Source organism: Homo sapiens, chromosome 4, assembly GCF_000001405.40.
Source record: "Homo sapiens chromosome 4, GRCh38.p14 Primary Assembly".
Lineage (NCBI taxonomy): Eukaryota > Metazoa > Chordata > Mammalia > Primates > Hominidae > Homo > Homo sapiens.
The window spans coordinates 128,796,369-128,815,164 of NC_000004.12; the positions used below are offsets into that span (position 1 = coordinate 128,796,369).

General features: G+C 45.5%; 1 protein-coding gene across 14 annotated transcripts in view, besides 9 other annotated features; it reads left to right on the forward strand.

Moving 5' to 3' along the window:
* Positions 6,257-7,176: an enhancer, noted in NCBI's record as "OCT4-NANOG-H3K27ac-H3K4me1 hESC enhancer chr4:129723780-129724699 (GRCh37/hg19 assembly coordinates)". NCBI's record gives its function as "activates a minimal SCP1, AML or CMV promoter by ChIP-STARR-seq in primed H9 embryonic stem cells {active_cell/tissue: H9 hESC(primed)}" and the evidence as "EXISTENCE:reporter gene assay evidence [ECO:0000049][PMID:30033119]".
* Positions 13,155-13,634: a silencer, noted in NCBI's record as "silent region_15686". NCBI's record gives its function as "represses an Ori minimal core promoter by ATAC-STARR-seq in GM12878 lymphoblastoid cells {active_cell/tissue: GM12878}" and the evidence as "EXISTENCE:reporter gene assay evidence [ECO:0000049][PMID:35858748]".
* Positions 13,332-18,796, forward strand: part of JADE1 (jade family PHD finger 1) — a 65,525-nt gene continuing 60,060 nt past the window's right edge. For 4 of the 14 annotated variants that reach the window (NM_199320.4, XM_017008626.3, NM_001287437.2 and 1 more), the window contains exon 1: positions 13,332-13,509. Coding sequence is in view for 2 of the 14 variants with exons in the window: in XM_024454218.2 (XP_024309986.1) it covers positions 15,455-15,473 (19 nt within the window). In the remaining 12 variants the exon portion in view is untranslated. The other 10 variants (XM_024454217.2, XM_024454221.2, NM_001287441.2 and 7 more) reach the window with 7 other exon arrangements.
* Positions 13,735-13,844: an enhancer, noted in NCBI's record as "active region_21894". NCBI's record gives its function as "activates an Ori minimal core promoter by ATAC-STARR-seq in GM12878 lymphoblastoid cells {active_cell/tissue: GM12878}" and the evidence as "EXISTENCE:reporter gene assay evidence [ECO:0000049][PMID:35858748]".
* Positions 14,145-14,264: a silencer, noted in NCBI's record as "silent region_15687". NCBI's record gives its function as "represses an Ori minimal core promoter by ATAC-STARR-seq in GM12878 lymphoblastoid cells {active_cell/tissue: GM12878}" and the evidence as "EXISTENCE:reporter gene assay evidence [ECO:0000049][PMID:35858748]".
* Positions 14,895-15,174: a silencer, noted in NCBI's record as "silent region_15688". NCBI's record gives its function as "represses an Ori minimal core promoter by ATAC-STARR-seq in GM12878 lymphoblastoid cells {active_cell/tissue: GM12878}" and the evidence as "EXISTENCE:reporter gene assay evidence [ECO:0000049][PMID:35858748]".
* Positions 15,295-15,394: a silencer, noted in NCBI's record as "silent region_15689". NCBI's record gives its function as "represses an Ori minimal core promoter by ATAC-STARR-seq in GM12878 lymphoblastoid cells {active_cell/tissue: GM12878}" and the evidence as "EXISTENCE:reporter gene assay evidence [ECO:0000049][PMID:35858748]".
* Positions 15,575-16,144: a silencer, noted in NCBI's record as "silent region_15690". NCBI's record gives its function as "represses an Ori minimal core promoter by ATAC-STARR-seq in GM12878 lymphoblastoid cells {active_cell/tissue: GM12878}" and the evidence as "EXISTENCE:reporter gene assay evidence [ECO:0000049][PMID:35858748]".
* Positions 16,588-17,169: an enhancer, noted in NCBI's record as "H3K27ac-H3K4me1 hESC enhancer chr4:129734111-129734692 (GRCh37/hg19 assembly coordinates)". NCBI's record gives its function as "activates a minimal SCP1, AML or CMV promoter by ChIP-STARR-seq in naive H9 embryonic stem cells {active_cell/tissue: H9 hESC(naive)}" and the evidence as "EXISTENCE:reporter gene assay evidence [ECO:0000049][PMID:30033119]".
* Positions 17,170-17,751: an enhancer, noted in NCBI's record as "H3K4me1 hESC enhancer chr4:129734693-129735274 (GRCh37/hg19 assembly coordinates)". NCBI's record gives its function as "activates a minimal SCP1, AML or CMV promoter by ChIP-STARR-seq in naive H9 embryonic stem cells {active_cell/tissue: H9 hESC(naive)}" and the evidence as "EXISTENCE:reporter gene assay evidence [ECO:0000049][PMID:30033119]".

Sequence of the window (18,796 nt, forward strand, 5' to 3'; positions counted from 1 at the left end):
TTTTTTATTTTTTAAGACAGAGTCTTGCTCTGTTGCATAGGCTGGAGTGCTGTGGCGTGATCTCTGCTCAGTACAACCTCCACCTCCGGGGTTCAAGTGATTCTGCTGGCTCAGTCTCCTGAGTAGCTGGGACTACAGGCACGTGCCACCACACCCAGCTAATCTGTTGGATTTTTAGTAGAGATGGGGTTTCACTGTGTTAGCCAATGGTCTCAATCTCCTGACCTCGTGATCTGCCCGCCTCGGCCTCCCAAAGTGCTGGGATTACAGGCGTGAGCCACCGTGCCTGGCCTATTTGATTTTTTAATTTTTGAGTTTTGACTGTTCTTTATATATTCCAGATAGTAGTTTTTTGTTGGATTTGTGGTTTGTGAATATTTTCTGTAGCTTGTCTTTTCATCTTCTTAATAGGATCTTTTGGAGAGCAAAGTTTTAATTTTGAGAGATCCAATATATCAATATTTCCTTTTATGGGTTGTGCTATCGCAATCAAGTAAAAGAACTCTTTGCCTAGCTCTAGATCTTAACATTTTTCCCTTATTTTTTTCTAAGAGTTTTATAGCTTACGTTTTACACTTAAGTCCATGGTCACATATTTTTAAGTAGGTGTTTAGATCCTGCTTGACATGTCTCATGTCTGAAATAAGCCTTAGCATGTGGAATTCTTTCTGTCCTCATTTTTTCCCTCAAGCATCTACTGAGTGCCAACTATGGCTCAAGTCACTGATACCAAATCATGTGTACAATTCCTCATTAGATAAATATTTCAGACTTTGCAATGAGTCAATTGAGTGATGTACTTCAGGGCGTGGCCTTTGGAACCCAACTAGCTTGGTCAAACCTGGTGCCACCTCTCAGCAGCTTTGTGATCTTTAGCAAGTTACTTAATACCTCTGAAACTCAATGTTTCACATCATTCACATCTCGATGAAAATAATAATACCTACATCACAGGATTGTTGTGAGAAGTAAATGAAACATTATGTGTAAAATGCTTAGCACACTGCCTAGCACATACATAGAAAACATTCAATAATTTTTAGTCCTCCTCCTTCCCATCCCCCCATGCAAAGATTTTTCTGGATACCTTCCCCAACTCATCATCTGCTTCCCCAGAGTCTCCAATTCTTTCTCTCTACTTCTGGTCTTAATTATTCTACTTCTTTTATTAAACAACATTCTCAACAGACTTTGGCATTTGATAGGATTTCCTATCTCCAATTTGTTTGTGGTATTCTTATATGTGTCAAACTATCTTTGTTTCCTGTATGTGTTATGTATCTCACCAACGACATATCTCCTCAAGGGCATGCCATGGCCCTAGTCTTCCATAGAGTCCAGCTCTATGTTGGGCAAGTGGCCCCTAATACACTGACAGTGGAGAATCTAAATTAAAACATTTTGTAGAAATGTTTTTGTAGAAAGCAATTTTTCAACTTCTGTGGAAAGCAATTCAGCAAAATGAATCCAAAACATTGAATACTTTGACCTAGTAATTTACCTTTTTCAGAATCCATCCTAAGAATGGTCAGATACTTGAATAAAAAAATTTATATATGGCTGGGTGCGGTGGCTCACGCCTGTAATCTCAGCACTTTGGGAGGCCGAGGCAGTCGGATCACCTGAGGTCAGTAGTTTGAGACCAGCCTGACCAATATGGTGAAACCCTGTCTCTACTAAAAATACAAAAAAAAATTAGCCGGGTGTGCTGGTGGGCGCCTGTAGTTCCAGCTACTCCGCAGGCTGAGGCAGGAGAATGGCGTGAACCCGGGAAGTGGGGCTTGCAGTGAGCCGAGATTGTGCCACTGCACTCCAGCCTGGGCAAAAGAGCGAGACTCCATCTCAAAAAAAAAATAAAAAATAAAAATAAATAAATAAATAAAAATTTAGAAAAATGTAAATGCATACTAATTTTAAAAATCAGGAATCAGAGTCCCAGCACGGTGGCTCACGCCTGTAATCCCAGCACTTTGGGAGGCCAAGGTGGGCGGATCACCTGAGGTTAGGAGTTTGAAACCAGCCTGACCAACATGGAGAAACCCCGACTCTACTAAAAATATGAAAATTAGCCAGATGTGGTTGTGCATGCCTGTAGTCCCAGCTACTTGGGCGGCTGAGGCAGGAGGAACGCTTGAACCCGAGAGGTGGAGGTTGCAGAGAGCCGAGATCACACCATTGCACTCTAGCCTGGGTGACAGAGCAAGGCTCTGTCTCAAAAAATAAAAATAAAAAAAATAAAAAAATAAAAAAAATCAGGAATCAGGGTAAATTCCATTTATAGATGGAATATTATACCATCAGTACAATTCTGTAGCTATAAATGCTGGGTAAGGTGTCAGAGCCCCGACATTGGGAAGTGGCGGACTAGCAGGTTGGTAAAAAGAATGTACCGACAACAGTATAGGTTTGAAAAAGGAAAGTTTATTAGAAAGAAAACACTGCAGAAGAGTGTAGCTGAGTGCCTCAGCAAGAGGACTGAGTGCAGTGGTGGATTTTTCCTTAGGAGCATTTATGGGTAATTTGGACCACATTAGCCATGTAGGTCATGATAGATGATTCCATTTGTAGACATTTTGGTGCCTTAATGTCAGCAAGGCTTGCACAACGAGTTTTGGCATGGCATTCTGGAGATGTATAGAAATTCTAGTTACTTATAAATTTTTTTGAGGGAAAGAAATCTGAAACCAGATGCCTGCTTTAGATAATAAGGAAGTCGAATTACTTCTAATTTTCCCCAGAGAAGGAGTTTTGCCTCTGGATGGCCTGTTTGATAGTCACCAGGTGGTGTTTGCTCCCTTCTAAATTCCCCAGGTAAGGAGTTTTTGTCTCCCGGGCCTGTTCAATGGCCACCAGGTGATTTTGCTCTCTTCAATAAGGATATACACTAAAGCACTCTTTATACTAGCAAACATGTAGAAATAATCCCAAAGCCCAACCCTATGGATAAATTAAACTGTCACAAAATAGAATTACAGTATAATCACATTTGTTTTAAAAAACTTAGGTACATATGGATGCACTTACACAAACATACAAAAACCAGGAAAAATATACAACAAAATTTTAGTGGTGATAGTCTGTGACTAAAAGATTTTTGGTGATTTTCATTTTAAGTATGGCTTCTTTAAAACATAATATTTGGCCGGGTGTGGTGGCTGACGCCTGTAATCCCAGCACTTTGGAAGGCCGAGGCAGGTGGATCGCTTGAGACCAGGAGTTCGAGACCAGCCTGGGCAACATGGAGAAAGCCTGTCTCTACTAAAAATACAAAAATTAGCTGGGCGGGATGGTGCATGCATATAATCCCAGCTACTTGGGAGGCTGAGGAATGAGAACTGCTTGAACCCGGGAAGCGGAGGTTGCAGTGAGTCAAGATAACGCCACTGTACTCCAGCCTAGGCAACAGAGCAAGACTGTCTCAAAATAATAATAATAATATTTATTACTTTTGCCATAAGAAAACAAGAATGAAAGTTACAATCTGTTTTTAAAATAGTGTTTTAGAGACTATTTAATTACATGGATATAATGATCATTCATCTCATTCAAAACATTTATTAAGTGCCTACCAACTGTTAGGCCCAATGCTAGGGACACACGGAGGGCACAATTAACAAAATCTTTGAATCACAGATAGTCTAATGAGGGATACAAAAAATTTACAAAACAGTGAGAGAAGTGACAATACAGGTATAGTGCTGAGTGTCATGGAAGCATAGAGAAGGGTGGGAGTTAGGGAGGTAGGATAAGGTTTTTTGTTGAAACTTGAATGAGCCCAAAGAAACATTGTAAATAGGGAAGAAATACCCAAGCTTAGGTAGGGATAAGCATTTTCAAAATTTCTCAAGGGATTCCATGAAGAAAAGTAAACAGGCATGGGACTGGAGGAGAGTTTGGAAGGAAGGCTAGCAAAAGTGAGTAGGAATCAGAAAATCAGTTCCGTATAGTCTATGTTGCTGAGTTTGGACTTTCTATCCTTAAGAGTAAACAGGAAAAAAAAAAAAAGGAAAAAAAAGGAATTAAAGGCTTTAAATGGGAATAGCATGATCATTTATGATTCTGACAAATGACATGGACTTTGCTCTAAAAAGATCACACTAACTACTGAGTAGGAAATGATTTGGAGGAAGATAAGGCTGGAGGCAGGAAAGCCAGTTAGACAGTGGTTTAGGTCACTGAGAGGATGACCCTGTCTGTAGGGATGGGGAGATGAAACTTGATGTAGAAGTGACTTGATGATAGTTTGAATTGCTGACAGTAGTGGAGGAGGTGTCAGGGAAAAGCAAGAGTCAAGAATGATGTTTTGGCTCTCGGGTTGGCAATTGCGGATGGTGGTACCACTAACTGAGACTGGAGACAGATGAAGAGGCACAAAGTGGGAGGGAAAATGAGTTCAGATTGGGAAACACTGAGTTTGAAATGCATGTGGGAAGTCTAAGGGAATGTTCGGGAGGCTTTTAGAGATACAAGTCTGAAAGTCAGGTGTGAAACTGGCTGTGTAGACATGTGTTTGGGGGGTCATGGGAGTAGATGAGATCACACAAGGGATATATGTAGAATTAGAGGATGGCTTAGGACAGAACTCTAAAGAAAACCAATGTTTAAGAGACTGAAAGTGAGAAAGAAAATGGACTCAAACCTGGTCTGGGACAGAAATTTTTTGTGTGATGTAATTTACAACTCCTTCTGGGAAGCAATTAGCATTCCTCATAAAGTGCGTGAACAGTTTTCTGACAGACTTTAATAAGACTGAAAACTCCTTCTGGGAAGCTAGGGTTACCCACCCAGCTGATTGACTAGCCTAATAATCTTTAACCAGATGTTCTTTTTTTTTGTACCCATTCTAAACATGGTTAGGGAACCATTCTTTTTTTTTTTTCTTATAAAATATCTCAACCAAAATTACTCCTTCGGTTGGATTTTTCAAAAAGCCTCTTTCTCATGTGCTCAAAACCAATTTGTCAGAAACACTACCTTAACAAAAAAGAAAAAGAAATCTGCAAGGGAATGAGCAGAAGCCAGAGAGGTAGGAGAGAAATCATCAGAATGTTGGTGTTATGGAAGCCAGGTGAAAATAAGAAAACAGGGCATGAATGGACAACAGTGTGAAATGCTGGTGAGAGTTCAAATAAAACAAGGATGAGAAATTGCCATGAGATTTAGCAATAAGAACATCAATGGTGATCTTGGCAAGAGCTGGGTGGGGTGACAGAGAGCATAAGTCAGATTTCAGTATATTCAAGTGTGAGCGTAGACCATTCTTTTAAAAAGTGTGGCTGTAAAGGGGAAGGGGGCTTTTTTAGTGGGGAACATAAGTATATTTAAATGTGTTTGAGAAGGAGTGAGTAGGAAAAGAAGAAGGGACCTGAGAGAGAAGGGCTAATCTTGAGTTTGAGACCAGCATCTTGAGTTTCGGTGTCTCAGGGACTTGGGAGGGGAATCTGGGCACAAGTGGAGGGAAGGTCAGCTTCCCACAGGAAAGAAGAGCAAGGATGGGCCTGTAAGGAAGACTGTCTGCAAGTTTGGTGCCAGAAGCTGAAGCTGAAGGCATTCTTGTTCATTGGCTTGTTACCTCCGTGATAGTGACGTAGGTTAGAAGCTCCAGTGAAAGTGCTGAGGCAGGTGGCAGGAGAATGCAGACTGAACTGACTAGGAAAACAGAGTGATTTCAGGGCATTGTGGAGGTGGGGGATAATGAGTGTATTCTGGAACCAATCAGCACAGATCTGTGACTTTCTCCAGTAGCTTAGAAGTCCAAATTCAGCAATGAAGAAGGCTAATATGTTTGAATTATTCTAGGACTGTCTTCAAGGAAACCATTGCAGCTTTGCAGCTTCCTTTGCCCATTCTTTAAATGCTTCTTTTTAGTTTCTAGCCTAGGCTCTGTTTTCTTCTCACTTTATGGAAACGTCCTATTGATCTCATCCACTCTGGTGGCCTCAGTTAATCTCTCTATGCTGATGGCTCCTAATCCAATATTTGCAACCCAGCCTTTCTCTCCAGTACCAGATTTCTTCTGGTTCCCATCTGCCTTCTGGGGCATCTTCAATTGGGTGTCTCCTGGGCACCTCAAATTGAACTCATCATATTCCCACTGTCTCCGAGAATAAAAGTAAACACTAGAAAGACAGGGGTGGATTTGTGTCTACCATTATAGATCCTGAACTCAGTGCTCAATGAGCAACTGTTGGTTGAGTAAAAAAAGAAATCCACTCAGTTCTCTAAGCCACAGACTTTGGAGTCATCTTTTACTCCAACTTCTCCTTCATCTCTGACATCTAACCCATCAAGTCTTATCTACATTTAAATATGTTTCGTGGCAGAAACACACACACTCCCTCCGACATGCACACACACACAAAAGTGAATTTTCAAGCAGTTTTAACACAGAAACTTAGCTGCTTTACCTCCTTTTTTTTGCTTCATTAACATTAGAACTAAACCAGTGGGAGAGTACCTCCCTCCCTGCTTCCTCTCCCGCCTCCCCACCAAGCCAGCTCTGCCTTAGAGAAAAGTGAACCTGGTTCTTCATTTGCTAATGATTTGGGCTCAGGTTATAATGGGCCATTAAGGTGAATTGTGGAAGAAAGTGGGGAAAAATGAAGCTTTCAGGTGGAGGGATAAAGAAACTATGGGGTGGTGACCCCAGGATGCTAGGGAGTCCTGGGATCTGATCCAGGCCTTTTGGAAGAAGAGGGGTTGGAGCAGGACCCCTATGAGGGGCCCGAGTCCTCCCCACGCACCGTCAGGGAGGCCTCCTCTGCTCAGCCATGCTGCTTGAGCCTCAGCTCTGGGTGCTGGGAGAGGACTTGGATCCCCCTGTACCAGGACTTCCACCTACTCACTGCCCATCAGGAGCTTTGCTTGTTTCCCCTACATGTTGCTTTCTGCCCCAAACACTGCCTCTGCCTTGTGGACACCCTCCTGACATGCCCCAGGGACTCTGTAAACCCCAGAGACATCCCCCAGGTACCCCTTAGAGCAGCAGCTCCAGAACTGGGGGAGCTGGAGGCCTCTGAAGAGCTGAGACAGTGTTAACGATGCCCTCATCACAGGGTGGTTTGTTTGCCTATCTGCACTCCACAATCAACAATGATAGTTCAGCCTGCCTTCAACTGTCATCTAGCCTCCTAACTAGGCTTACTCTCTCCAGTCTACAAACCCGCCGCCCTCCCAACCCATCCAGTTCCCTACCCTGAAGCCAAAGGGCTTGTAAAAAGTCAACATTTGGCCCCCATCCTCCTCCTCCTCACCTGGCTGATGCCTTCGGGTTTCAGCTTTAGTGTCACTTATTTTTAGACTGACGTCTTCTCTGACCACCCTCTTCCCACCAGGCAGATCAGGTGTATGCTATATGCCTCCCCCAAACCCTGGAGTTTATTGAAATCACTTTTTAATATTTTCTACTGGCCCGTGGACAAAGAATAGGCCTACTTGCCTGTTTTACCTTGTCTCCAGTGCCTAGCCAGCCCTGTGCCTGGGACATACTAATTGCTTAACACATTTGTCTGAGGAATGAAGAAACATTAGACAAGAAAGTTCAGAAAACAGTTGGTTAGAGGTGGTAGGTGGGAGTGAGACCTACATAAGTGTTTTTCTGATTGAGTGTGGATCAGAACTACCAGGAAGGGTTGTTAAAACACAGATTGCCGGATCCCACTTTCTGTTTCAGTAGGTCTGGGGTGGGGCTGGAAATAATGCATTTCTGACAAGTTCTCAGGTGCTGCTGCTGCTGATTAGAGACCTTATGAGTTACATCCGTTCTGTTGTTGGTAAGAAAAGGCTGGAGGGGTAGATCAGAGGACTTTCAGATAAAAAGAAGGGTAAGGTGGGATGTATAGACTTTGGAAATCTGAAAGGTAGTGGTCAAAATGGGAGATACTTGAGTTTGATAATAAAGATGGCAGAAATTTCCAGTAGTTGACAAGGTCCAGGGAGAGTAGCTATGAGAATGAATAGCCAAAGTAACCTGTGGAGGAAGGTATAATAACACAGAGGGGGTCAAAGACCTGAAATGCACAAACATTGCATAAAAGTATTTAATACCCAAATGGAAAAATTGAAAGATGTAAGTGAAAAGGAAGGATGTAAAATGGAATGTGTCGCATCATTCCAATTTTAGGAAAAATGCATAGAAAAAAGACCAAAAAATGGACAATGTTTATAATAGTTATCCATATGGTTGAGTTTTATTACTTCATTTTTCTAAATTTTCAAAATTTCATTATCATGTATTCCTTTCATGATTAGGGAAGAGCTTTACTTATTTTGAACCTCCTCAGCTTTGGTCATTTCCATCTGGTGGAATTATCTCCTGTTATCCCATTTCATACTTACTTCTCTTTGACATTTTTACTTTCACTAAAAGTATGGAAATCAACAAAATTAAAACAACCAAAATGAAAAGCAAGCAAAGGAAAACAAAAAGAAGGGGAAGAAAGAATCTCAAGAAGAAAGTAATTTAGTTGGTACTGACACCAACAAGAAACAAATATTCCATATATTTGGAGGTTGTAATGACCTGCCTGGAGGAGCTAAAATGTTGTTAAGGACTGGTGACTTCACCAACAGGTCAGACAAGGAATTCTAGTCCTAATCTCTTACCCTTCATCTCCTGTGTCACGGAGTTCAGATAGGTGTTGACTGTGGCTCTCAACTTTTCTTGTTCAGAATTATATGTACCATACATTAGGACAAGGGGTGTTAAAAAACAAAAAAGAATTATATGTCCTTATTCCTCTTTGAACTACATCCCTCCCTCATACAATATTACTCAACAAAGTTAATAAAAAGTTATTATTATTATTTTTTTGAGATGGAGTTTCGCTCTCATTGCCCAGGCTGCAGTGCAATGGTGCAATCTCGGCTCACCGCAGCCTCCGCCTCCTGGGTCAAGCGATTTTCCTGCCTCAGCTTCCCAAGTAGCCGGGATTACAGGCATGCGCCACCACGCCTGGGTAATTTCTTTTTTTTTTTTCTTTTTTTTTTGAGATGGAGTCTCGGTCTGTCACCCAGGCTGGAGTAGAGCGGCAAGATCTCAGCTCACTGCAAACTCCGCCTCCCGGGTTCAAGCAATTCTTCTGCCTCAGCTTACCAAGTAGCTGGGATGACAGGTATGCACCACCACGCCCAGCTAATTTTTGTATTTTTAGTAGAGACGGGGTTTCACCATGTTGGCCAGGCTGGTCTTGAACGCTTGACCTTGTGATCCGCCTGCCTTGGCCTCCCAAAGTGCTGGGATTACAGGCGTGAGCCACCGCGCCCAGCGAATTTTTATATTTAGTAGAGATGGGTTTTCACTATATTGATCAGGCTGGTCTCAAACTCCTGACCTCAAGTGATCCACCCGCCTCAGCCTCCCAAAGTGCTGGGAATACAGGTGTGAGCCACCACGCCTGGTTGAAAAATAAAAAGTTATTTTTTATCATTTAGTTATTAGAATTATTTTTAAAAACAACAATCTAAGCCCTCTTTAGTAACAAGACATTTTTGGCACAAAATTCCAAAAAAATTAAAGTACATGCAAATAAACTTTTAGGATACAACCCATTTTATCCAAGATTGCCCTTTTACAGTAAAAAAAAAAAAAATTCTTCTCTCTGGGTGCAGGCGCAGTGGCTCACGCCTATTATCCCAGCACTTTGGGAGAGCGAGGAGGGCGGATCGCTTGAGCTCAGGAGTTTGAGACCAGTCTGGGAAACACGGTGAAATCCTGTCTCTACAAAAAATATGAAAAATTAGTCAGGTGTGGTGGTTCATGCCTGTGTTCCCAGCTACTTTGGAGGCTGAGGTGGGGGAATTGCTTGAGGCCTGGAGGTGGAGGCTGCACTGAGCCATGTTGGGACCACTGAACTCCAGCCTGGGTGGCAGAGTGAGACCCTGATCTTGAAAAAAAAAAAAATTATCTCGTTGGAATGTATACCAACTGACAGTGGTATTTGCCAGTAAGAATTTCTTGCTCATTTCCCTAAAGGAATGAGATAATACAGGACTTTAGTGTATGCATCCCTTCATTTCAAATATGAACAATTCTGAATCTCTTATCAAGGCCTTATAATTCTTTACCTACAGAGAAGTAGATGAAATGACTAAGTAAACATTCAGAGGTTTAATCAAGTCTGGTTTCAAAATCAGGAATATGAATATAAATATCCAAATTTCTATTTCATAAAAACCCATTATTATGGAAGAAAATAATTAAACTGTTTATGACTACAGCAGAATGTACAGGATATATAGAATTGTAATTATCACCACGAACAGGAAAGACAAGAATCTTGATATTTCTATTACACTGAGTACCTTGTAGCTATTTTGTTGAATGTCTTTTCATCTCTGATAATAAGGTGTGAATTAAAAAGAACTATTCCAGAGACTAGGAAATGATGATCCGGAATGATTTGGCAAGGTAAGACAGTAAGTGACAGAGTGGAATCAGAAACTCGCTTTCCTAATTGCCAGCTTAGTACTTCTTATTCTAGGCTGTATTATCTGTGCTGCCGCAAGGCAAACCATATCATTGCCTTTCCCATTTTAGAAATAGGTTGTATAGGAGTTTCCTTTGTGGTCTGATGGCAAGAGACACCTATTATTTAAGAAATGCCAACTGCTGATCATTGATGACAAAATATTTTTACATGTTCCTTATGGATTCAAGTTGTCCGCCATTTCTTCAAATAATCATCACGTTTCTAAGTTTGGTAAGAAAATCAGAAATGACTGAATGTTAAAGAGAAAGGGGCCTTAGGCATTATTTTTCCTATCATCTCAGTGGGGAAACTAAAGCCCAAAGAGTCATATTGGGAGTTGGTGGGAGTCTCCTGACTTCTTGTCCAGGGCTATTTATAGCACATAGCACTGTTTCAGTGGATGAGTATTCTGAAGCCACGGCATAATTGAGACTCTGTACATGGCACCTTCACTCATGTTCAATGTGTCAGTGTGGGGAGTTTGTGTGCCATTTTATCCCTTTATTTTTGTCATCCATTTTATTCAATACTTTCGTTGGTGCCTGATGTTTTTGATAGAAAAAGCAAATAAAAGAGTAAGCAGCAAATGTGAGTTAAAAAAATTTTTTTTTTGAGACAGAGTCTCGCTCTGTCGCCCAGGCTACAGTGCAGTGGCGTGATCTCGGCACACTGCAAGCTCCTCCTGCCGGGTTCACGCCATTCTCCTGCCTCAGCCTCCCCAGCAGCTGGGACTACAGGCGCCCGCCACCACACCCGGCTAATTTTTTGTATTTTTAGTAGAGACGGGGTTTCACCGTGTTAGCCAGGATGGTCTGGATCTCCTGACCTCGTGATCCGCCCGCCTCTGCCTCCCAAAGTGCTGGGATTACAGGCATGAGCCACCGCGCCCGGTCGACAAAAATTTTCTTAACATGAATGCGTGAAGTAAGGCTGTTTGGAATTTAGAAAAGTTGCAATTTTTGATGGAGAGAAAACCAAGAAGGAGTTGAGTGATGGCCGAGGGAGTGGACAACCTCCTACTGCCAGGGCCTCTACTCCTGAACTGTTATGAGGTTGCCTGATTCCTCTTAACAACCCTTCAGGTTAGGGGCCAGCTGTTAACTTAATTTTATTACCAGGGAAGAAACTGAGGCTCAGATAAAGTTCTTTTATCCCACAGGCACACAAACTGCTAACTGATAGAGCCAGATCCAGCCATGTCTGGCTACAAAGCCTGTGTACTTTAACTTCTACAGAGAGTATGTGCGAGGTGAACCAGTAAAAATAACAATAACAAGTGCAATACTAAGAATAGTAATAATGATAGTTAACACAGTGCTTTACATGTGTGATCGCTTTGAACAGGATTAAGTGAACACATGAATAGGACTGGCAGGGAGTCTTTCTACTCTTCATTAGCGAAACAGGAGAGGACATATACAGTACTTAGGATTTCCACTGGCTTACTTTGTTTTCTGAAAAATAACTGAAAGGCTCAATTAGTTTTGTTTTGTCGCATTTATCAGATTATAACGTTCTGGATGTGGGTCTGGATGTGGGTAGTTGGGCTGGTGTGGGATTACATGAAATCAAACCTGATATATTCAGAAAGATTCTTCCGGTGGACACATATGCCTTTTGGGTTCGATATTCAATTTTGTAATTAGTGATCACTGTTCCTATTTATTTATTTATTTATTTGAGACGGAGTTTCGCTCTTATTGCCCAGGCTGGACCACAATGGCGCATTATCGGCTCATCACAACCTCCACCTCCCGGGTTCAAGCGATTCTCCTGCCTCAGCCTCCCCAGTAGCTGGGGTTACAGGCATGTACCACCATGCCCGGCTAATTTTGTATTTTTTAGTAGAGACAGGGTTTATCCATGTTGGTCAGGCTGGTCTTGAACTCCCGACCTCAGGTGATCCGCCCACCTAGGCCTCCCAAAGTGCTGGGATTACAGGCGTGAGCCACCGCGCCCGGCCTGAATGGGAGTTTTTAATCCGTACTTTTTTCTTATTGAAGTTGAATGTCATATACCCCTCTATTTCCCTAGATGAATCCATGAAAGAAGTATGTTGCCCTCTATATGAAAAAGCAAGCTTGTCTTCTGCAGAAAATCAGTAACCACTCCTTTTTACACATAAATACCCCCAAATGAATCTCCGATGACTGATCTGATACTAGTCTGCAATTCTAGTTTTAGCATTAGGCTCACTCCTCATATTTGGGAGAAGATGTCCAATTCTGTAGTAATGTGTAACATAAAGTGGTGTCAATTTATAAATAATATCTTCTAATGAATTAATGCTCATTTGCAATGATCACTTCCATACAAATTTAGGTAAAGATGTTATTCAGAATTGGATTCTCTCTATTTAAAAATGTCATCCTAATGTGCAACTCCCTAAAACTGTTACTACAAACAACTATTTTGCCACTCAGCCTAAAAATAAAACCTTTCACCCAAATGACACATCTTAATAGCCATATTTTAATCTACGTAATTTTAAACTATTCTGAAAGAATCCATTTCTAGATGTCAGACAAGAGTTGAAACTGGGACAGCAGTTTGAAGGGGCTAATTTAAAAACCCACTTGCTTGGAGACACCTCAAGAATTTCTAGGCTCACAAGGTGGGTGAAGTAAGGAAAGAGACTAAGAGCTGAACAGTGCCGTTCTTTGCGAGCCCCCACTGGCGCAGGCTGAGCCGGCTGCGGCTAGGGCTGCGAAGAGTTAACGAGGGACCGAGCCCCAGCGCCGCGGGCTCCCCGCATGCTCCCTCCGCCCTCCCGTCCCCACCCTCTCGTTTTGGCAAGGGATTAAAGTGCTCCCCCCTGTGGCAGCAGTGACCCAGAAATGAGTTTGATTCACATAGTCCTTCCTCCATAACAAGCCAAACGCCAGACCGAGAGTGCCTCCGTGCGCGAGTGCCCGGTGTGTGCGCGCCGGCGAGAGCAGGGGCCCGCCCGGCTCCCCGCCCGCCGCGGCCCGAACTCATGCAGCTCCGAGCGAGCGAGCGGCGCCCAGCCCAGCGCCTCGGCCGAACCCCTCCGCAGCAGGTACGCGCGCGGGCCGCGGGGGGCGCGCGGGGTGGGCGCGCCGCGCGTGTGTCCGCGCGTGTCCGCGTGTGGGTCCGTGTGCGCGTCCCGGTCCCGCGGCGGCGACGGCGGCGGCGGCGGCGGCGGCTGCAGGACGAGCCGAGAGGCTCAGCCATATTTGATGGTTTTGTTGCTTTGCTCGGGAGTTCTCGGGAGTAATTTAATGCCGAAGGTCGCTGCCTAGTGGAAATAATATAATACGTCATTAATATGGCGCCAAAAGATTGGGTTCTCGATCTGTAGCGAGGAGGGAGGGAGGCAGCCGCTGAGCGCAGCGTTACTATCCCACCAGTAACTTGGGCATTGCCGGGGCGGGGGCCGGAGGAGGAGGAGAGGATGATTTTTGGATCCTGAGAATTGATCTATGTTGGATCAGTAAGTTTTATTATGATTTTTTTTTTCAAATTTGGGGGGCTGAAGACTTAGAGCTATTTCTTCTTTTGGATTTGCGAAGAACATGCGGTTTTCAGGTGAATCATCAATTAAACGCGTTTAGGAGCAGAAGCCCAGTTTAAGTTGGCTTTAGTTTATAGGTTTTTTTTTTTTTTTTTTTTTTTTAGAAAGCCAAAGTGCATTAGGCTGCATGAAAGTGGAAAGCATAGTAGCAACTTGGTAGACAGATGGCAATGGCAGAACGCAGGTTCGCGTACATATATGAATCCAGAGTGTGTGAGACCGTGTGTGTGGTGGGACTGTATTTGTCCAAACATAGGTGTGCGTAGGTACATCTGTGTGTGGTGGCCGCAGCCCTGGCTCTTGTCACCGCGTCACCACATGTCCAAAATATTCATTGCATCAATTCAAGGGCAGTGAGAGGGGGGTGGGGGTGGGGGTGGAGGGACAGTTTGGCAATTAGATTCTTCCGAACTGGGCTTCCAGTGATCAGATCTTTTACTTACAGCGCGACTGCTTGTAAAGTGTAAAACCCCTTAATCGATGAAATGGGGTAGGAGTTGGCGTTGGTAGAGCAAAGTACCGATTAATCGTGAACTTAAAGGGGATTGCAAATTGCAACCTTTGGCACCATCTGCAAATTGTGGGGGTGGGGTCTCTTGGTCTCCTTGCTTCCTTAAATGAACGTGTAGTGTGTACCCCGGGACTGCAAGTTGCAGAGCCCTTCAGTGCACGTGTCTTGTGCCTGTGAGTCTGTGTTTGCGAGTTGGGGGCTGTTGTTCGGTAGCCAGCAGGCTTTCCGGGTTGCTCGGCATTGGCTTGCAAATGCGGGAGAGGGATGGAATGTGGAATGTTGACCGGGGAACCGAATCCTGTCGGAACGGTCCCATTTGCTGGAGAAATTCGATCCCTTCCACCTCCTTCCCGCTCCCCCCCGCCCGCCTTCGGGCAGGAGGCGGGGCTGAGGACGCGGCTGCTGCTCAAAGTGGCGGAGCGCGGCGGCGGGAGGCAGGTGCACGGCACCCGCCAGTGGGGGTGCCTCAACTTCCGCGGGCGTTTAAATAGCAGCCTCTCTCCCCTCCCACCGGTAATAGGTGACCTGGCGGCCGAGGGCGGCGGGGGAGGGAACCGGGGGAGACTCGGGAGCGAGCCTCCGCGGCACGTGGGCAGGTGCTGGGTGGCCCCGGGGCCAACTTTTGTAGCCCGCCTCTGGTGTTTGAGGAGAGGCGGCCCAGTGTGGAAATGGGGGCGGGCGGCGGCCGAGGCGCTGCTTCTCCGCTGCGGCCGGAGCGTCACCTAACGGTCCCAGCTGCGCCGCCCGGGCCGGGGTGGGGGGTTGCGGGGGCGGGGACGCCCGGCCCGCCGCGCCCGCCCCGCACAAAGCCCGCGGCGCGGGGGTGGCCGCTGCGCCCCCGCCCCGGGAACGGCCCGAAGCCCGACGCGGTCCCCGCGCCGGTTCCGGCGGGCGGCCGCAGGCGTTTGTTTGTTGGTTCCGCGCCGCCTTCCTCGCCGGATGGCTTCCTGTGACAGAGGTGATACACAGTTTCCAGAACTGTCTGGGGGCGGGAGCGGGAGCGGGAGCCGAGCCCGCTCGGAGCTCCTCGCCGCCGCTGCCGCTCCCATCTTAAAACCGTTTCTCGCCGGCGCGCCCGCCCCAGCCCGAAGGTGCCGCCCCGGAGGGACTCGGGGAGGGGGACGGCGCGGCCGTTTCCAGCGGCGCAAGTGGCTTCTGGACGCGAGGGAGCGTTTGATTTGCAACTGGGGCCGAGCGGATTGGTGCAGCTGGCGGCGGCGGGGCGGGAGGAGCTGCCGCGGCGGGGGGTGGCCACTTTCAAATGGAGAGGGCGGCGGCGGCGGGGACGCCGCTGCGGAGGGAGCGGGGCTTGGTTGCGCCACGAGAAGGTGTCATCACTGCACCGGGGCTAATTCCGGCGGAGGTGCCGGGAGTTACTTTCCCCTCCTCCCGCGCTGTTGTTTCTGTCGCCTCGGGAGGAGGAGGAGGAGGAGGATTGGGAGAGAGGGAGGGGTCGGCGCCGCGCGGAACCGCGGCCCTGCGCATTCCCCGGCGGGCGGCGGGAGCCGCGCGGAGCGTTCGCCGCTGCGGGGCGGCGGCCGAGCTCCCCCACAACCCCGGGGTGCCCCCCTTGCTGGGATCCTTAGCCTTCTCACGTCCCCTCTCACTCCGCCACCCTCCCACTAGAGCTCCTTATTCTCGAGTCCTCAACCCCGGCTTGGCGCGTCCCGGGTCTCCCCTCGCCCCAGGATTCCTCCCGCGCCAGGCTCCGCTGGCCCCAGGTTTCCCACCCCAAGCGGGTGGGGGCGGCCGCAGTCCCGGCGCCGGTGAATGCTGAGAGCAAACAAAAAAGCGGGCGATTTAAACATGCCTTCGAAACCCGTTAGGAATGCGTCGTCATCCGGAGACCGTTTAAAAGGAGCTTTAGCTTGCCTTCTAGTAACGAGAGGGCTGGCGCCCTGCCTTACTTCGGCAGGGGCGAGGGGCTGTCGCCCTCTATTTGCCCCGGCCAAGAGGGAATTTAAATTTTCTTTTGTAAAATGACAGCTGCAGTGAATGACCTGAGACAGCTACGTTTTTAGGAAAGTAGGAGAGGATCTGAGGTTTCCATTAATGGGAATGCTTAGGGGGTTCTTTCCCAAAGGTTTTTTATTAGGTGAACTATTTTTCCTTTTTATAATACCCGCCATGAAGGCTAGCTCTCTTGCTACTTGTAGCTCAAGGCTAATACCTTTCAAAGCTAATGAACTAGTTTTAAGATAGAGGGAAATTATTTCCCTGAAAGCTGATTTAGGTAGTGACTCCCCAGTGGTTACAGATTTTATAGTAAGTTGCATTTTGATCATATCACAACTGATCAAGATTTAATCACAGGTGGAGAAAGGTGGAGAAAGGAAGCATTCAATATGTCCATACTTGCATTGAGTCAACACTTTTGATGTAATAATTTGTTGTAGGTGGGCAACATACGTGGGGGGAGTTAAATGGGATGTTTTGTGAGTAACACTCTTAGCAAGTACATGCAACCCAGAATTTTTATTGTCCTTTTATCCCAAAGATCTTAGTCTCATTTACTTACGGTCACTTTTTTTTTTTTTTTTTTTTGTTCCTTGAGACAGAGTCTTTCGCTCTGTCACCCAGGCTGGAGTGCAGTGGCATGATCTTAGCTCACTGCAACCTCCGCCTCCTGGGTTCAAGCGATTCTCCTGCCTCAGCCCCCTGAGTAGCTGGGACTACAGGCGCGTGCCACCACGGCTGGCTAATTTTTTTTTGTATTTTTAGTAGAGACGGGGTTTCACCATATTAGCCAGGCTGGTCTCGAACTCCTGACCTCGTGATCCGCCCGCCCCGGCCTCTCAAAGTGCTGGGATTACAGGCGTGAGCCACCACGCCCAGCCTGCTTACGGTCACTTGTAAATCAGATGACTTTCTGCTTGGTATTTTGCTGTCTTCTTCAAAGTTTGGATACTTCTATAAGTGTCTTTTACTTGGCATTGTCATTTTAATGTGTAGAATAAATATAATTTTAAGCTGTTTAAGTGTTAGGTTTCCTGCTATTTCCTTTGGTCCCTATTTAGCAGAGATAATGGGAGTGTCTGAAAGTAAGGTAGAACTTGAACTTGATTCCACCTTTAAGAGTACAGACTGCTTACTAGTAAAAGTTGGGTTGGCTGCACATATATTTTAGCTTTAACAAAGGTAGATATGTGTTCATTTAAAAGAAAAAAAAAAAACCCACCTTCTTAGTTCTCCCCGCTTCACTTGACTGGTTTTCTGCCTGTAAACCAGTGCTGTGCTTATATTAGTTATCCAGGTTGAAAGAGTAGCTATACAGGGACAGCAATGAAAAGTATGTGTGTCTGGGTGAAACTAGAGGGAGAAAACCTATTGGAGTTTGAGGAAATGTGTTTTGTTGCTTAGCCTAGGGGGTTGGAGAAGAAAGATGACCTAAAAAACAAACTTGGAGGACTAGGTGAGAGTAAAAGCAGATTTCCATTGCGTCTTACGTATAGTAGGCACGTGACCGATATTAATTTTTGACTTTAGCTGTTAAAAAGTTATTACACAAGTAGTGTTACATGTACGTTTTTGAAAATTAGAAAATACAAGGAAACAAATATAAAAACAAATTGCTACCATCCATAGATGACTACTGTATTACTTTTCAGATAATTTTCTATGCATGTGCATGTGTGTTTTAATAAAAATGAGATACATGAATATACCATCTGTAAGGATTTTTTCTTTTTTTTTTTTTTTTGAGATGAAGTTTTGCTCATGTTGCCCAGGCTGGAGTGCAATGGTGGGATCTCACTGCAACCTATGCCTCCCAGGTTCAAGCGATTCTCCTGCCTCAGCCTCCTGAGTAGCTGGGATTACAGGCTCCCGCCACCACGCCCAGCTAATTTTTTGTATTTTTAGTAGAGACGGGTTTTCACCATGTTTGTCAGGCTGGTCTTGAACTCCTGACCTCAGGTGATCCACCTGCCTCGGCCTCCCAAAGTGCTGGGATTACAGGCGTGAGCCACCGCACCCAGCTCTGAGGACCTTTTTTTTTTCTGTCAGCTAGCTTGGTTAGTTTTAATATAATCTATTACTGTAACATGTCCAGATTTCCCCATTTAGCCCCAGACTGTAATAGAGAAGCTTTGTCTAAACCACTGCCTAATAAAGGACCATTTATTGCATTTGGTTGTTTCCCTTAAGTCGATTTTAATCTTAAGTAACTTTTTTTTTTTTTTTTTGAGACGGAGGCTTGCTCTGTCACCCAGGCTGGAGTGCAGGGGTGCGATCTCGGCTCCCTGTAAGCTCCGCCTCCCTGTAAGCTCCGCCTCCCTGTAA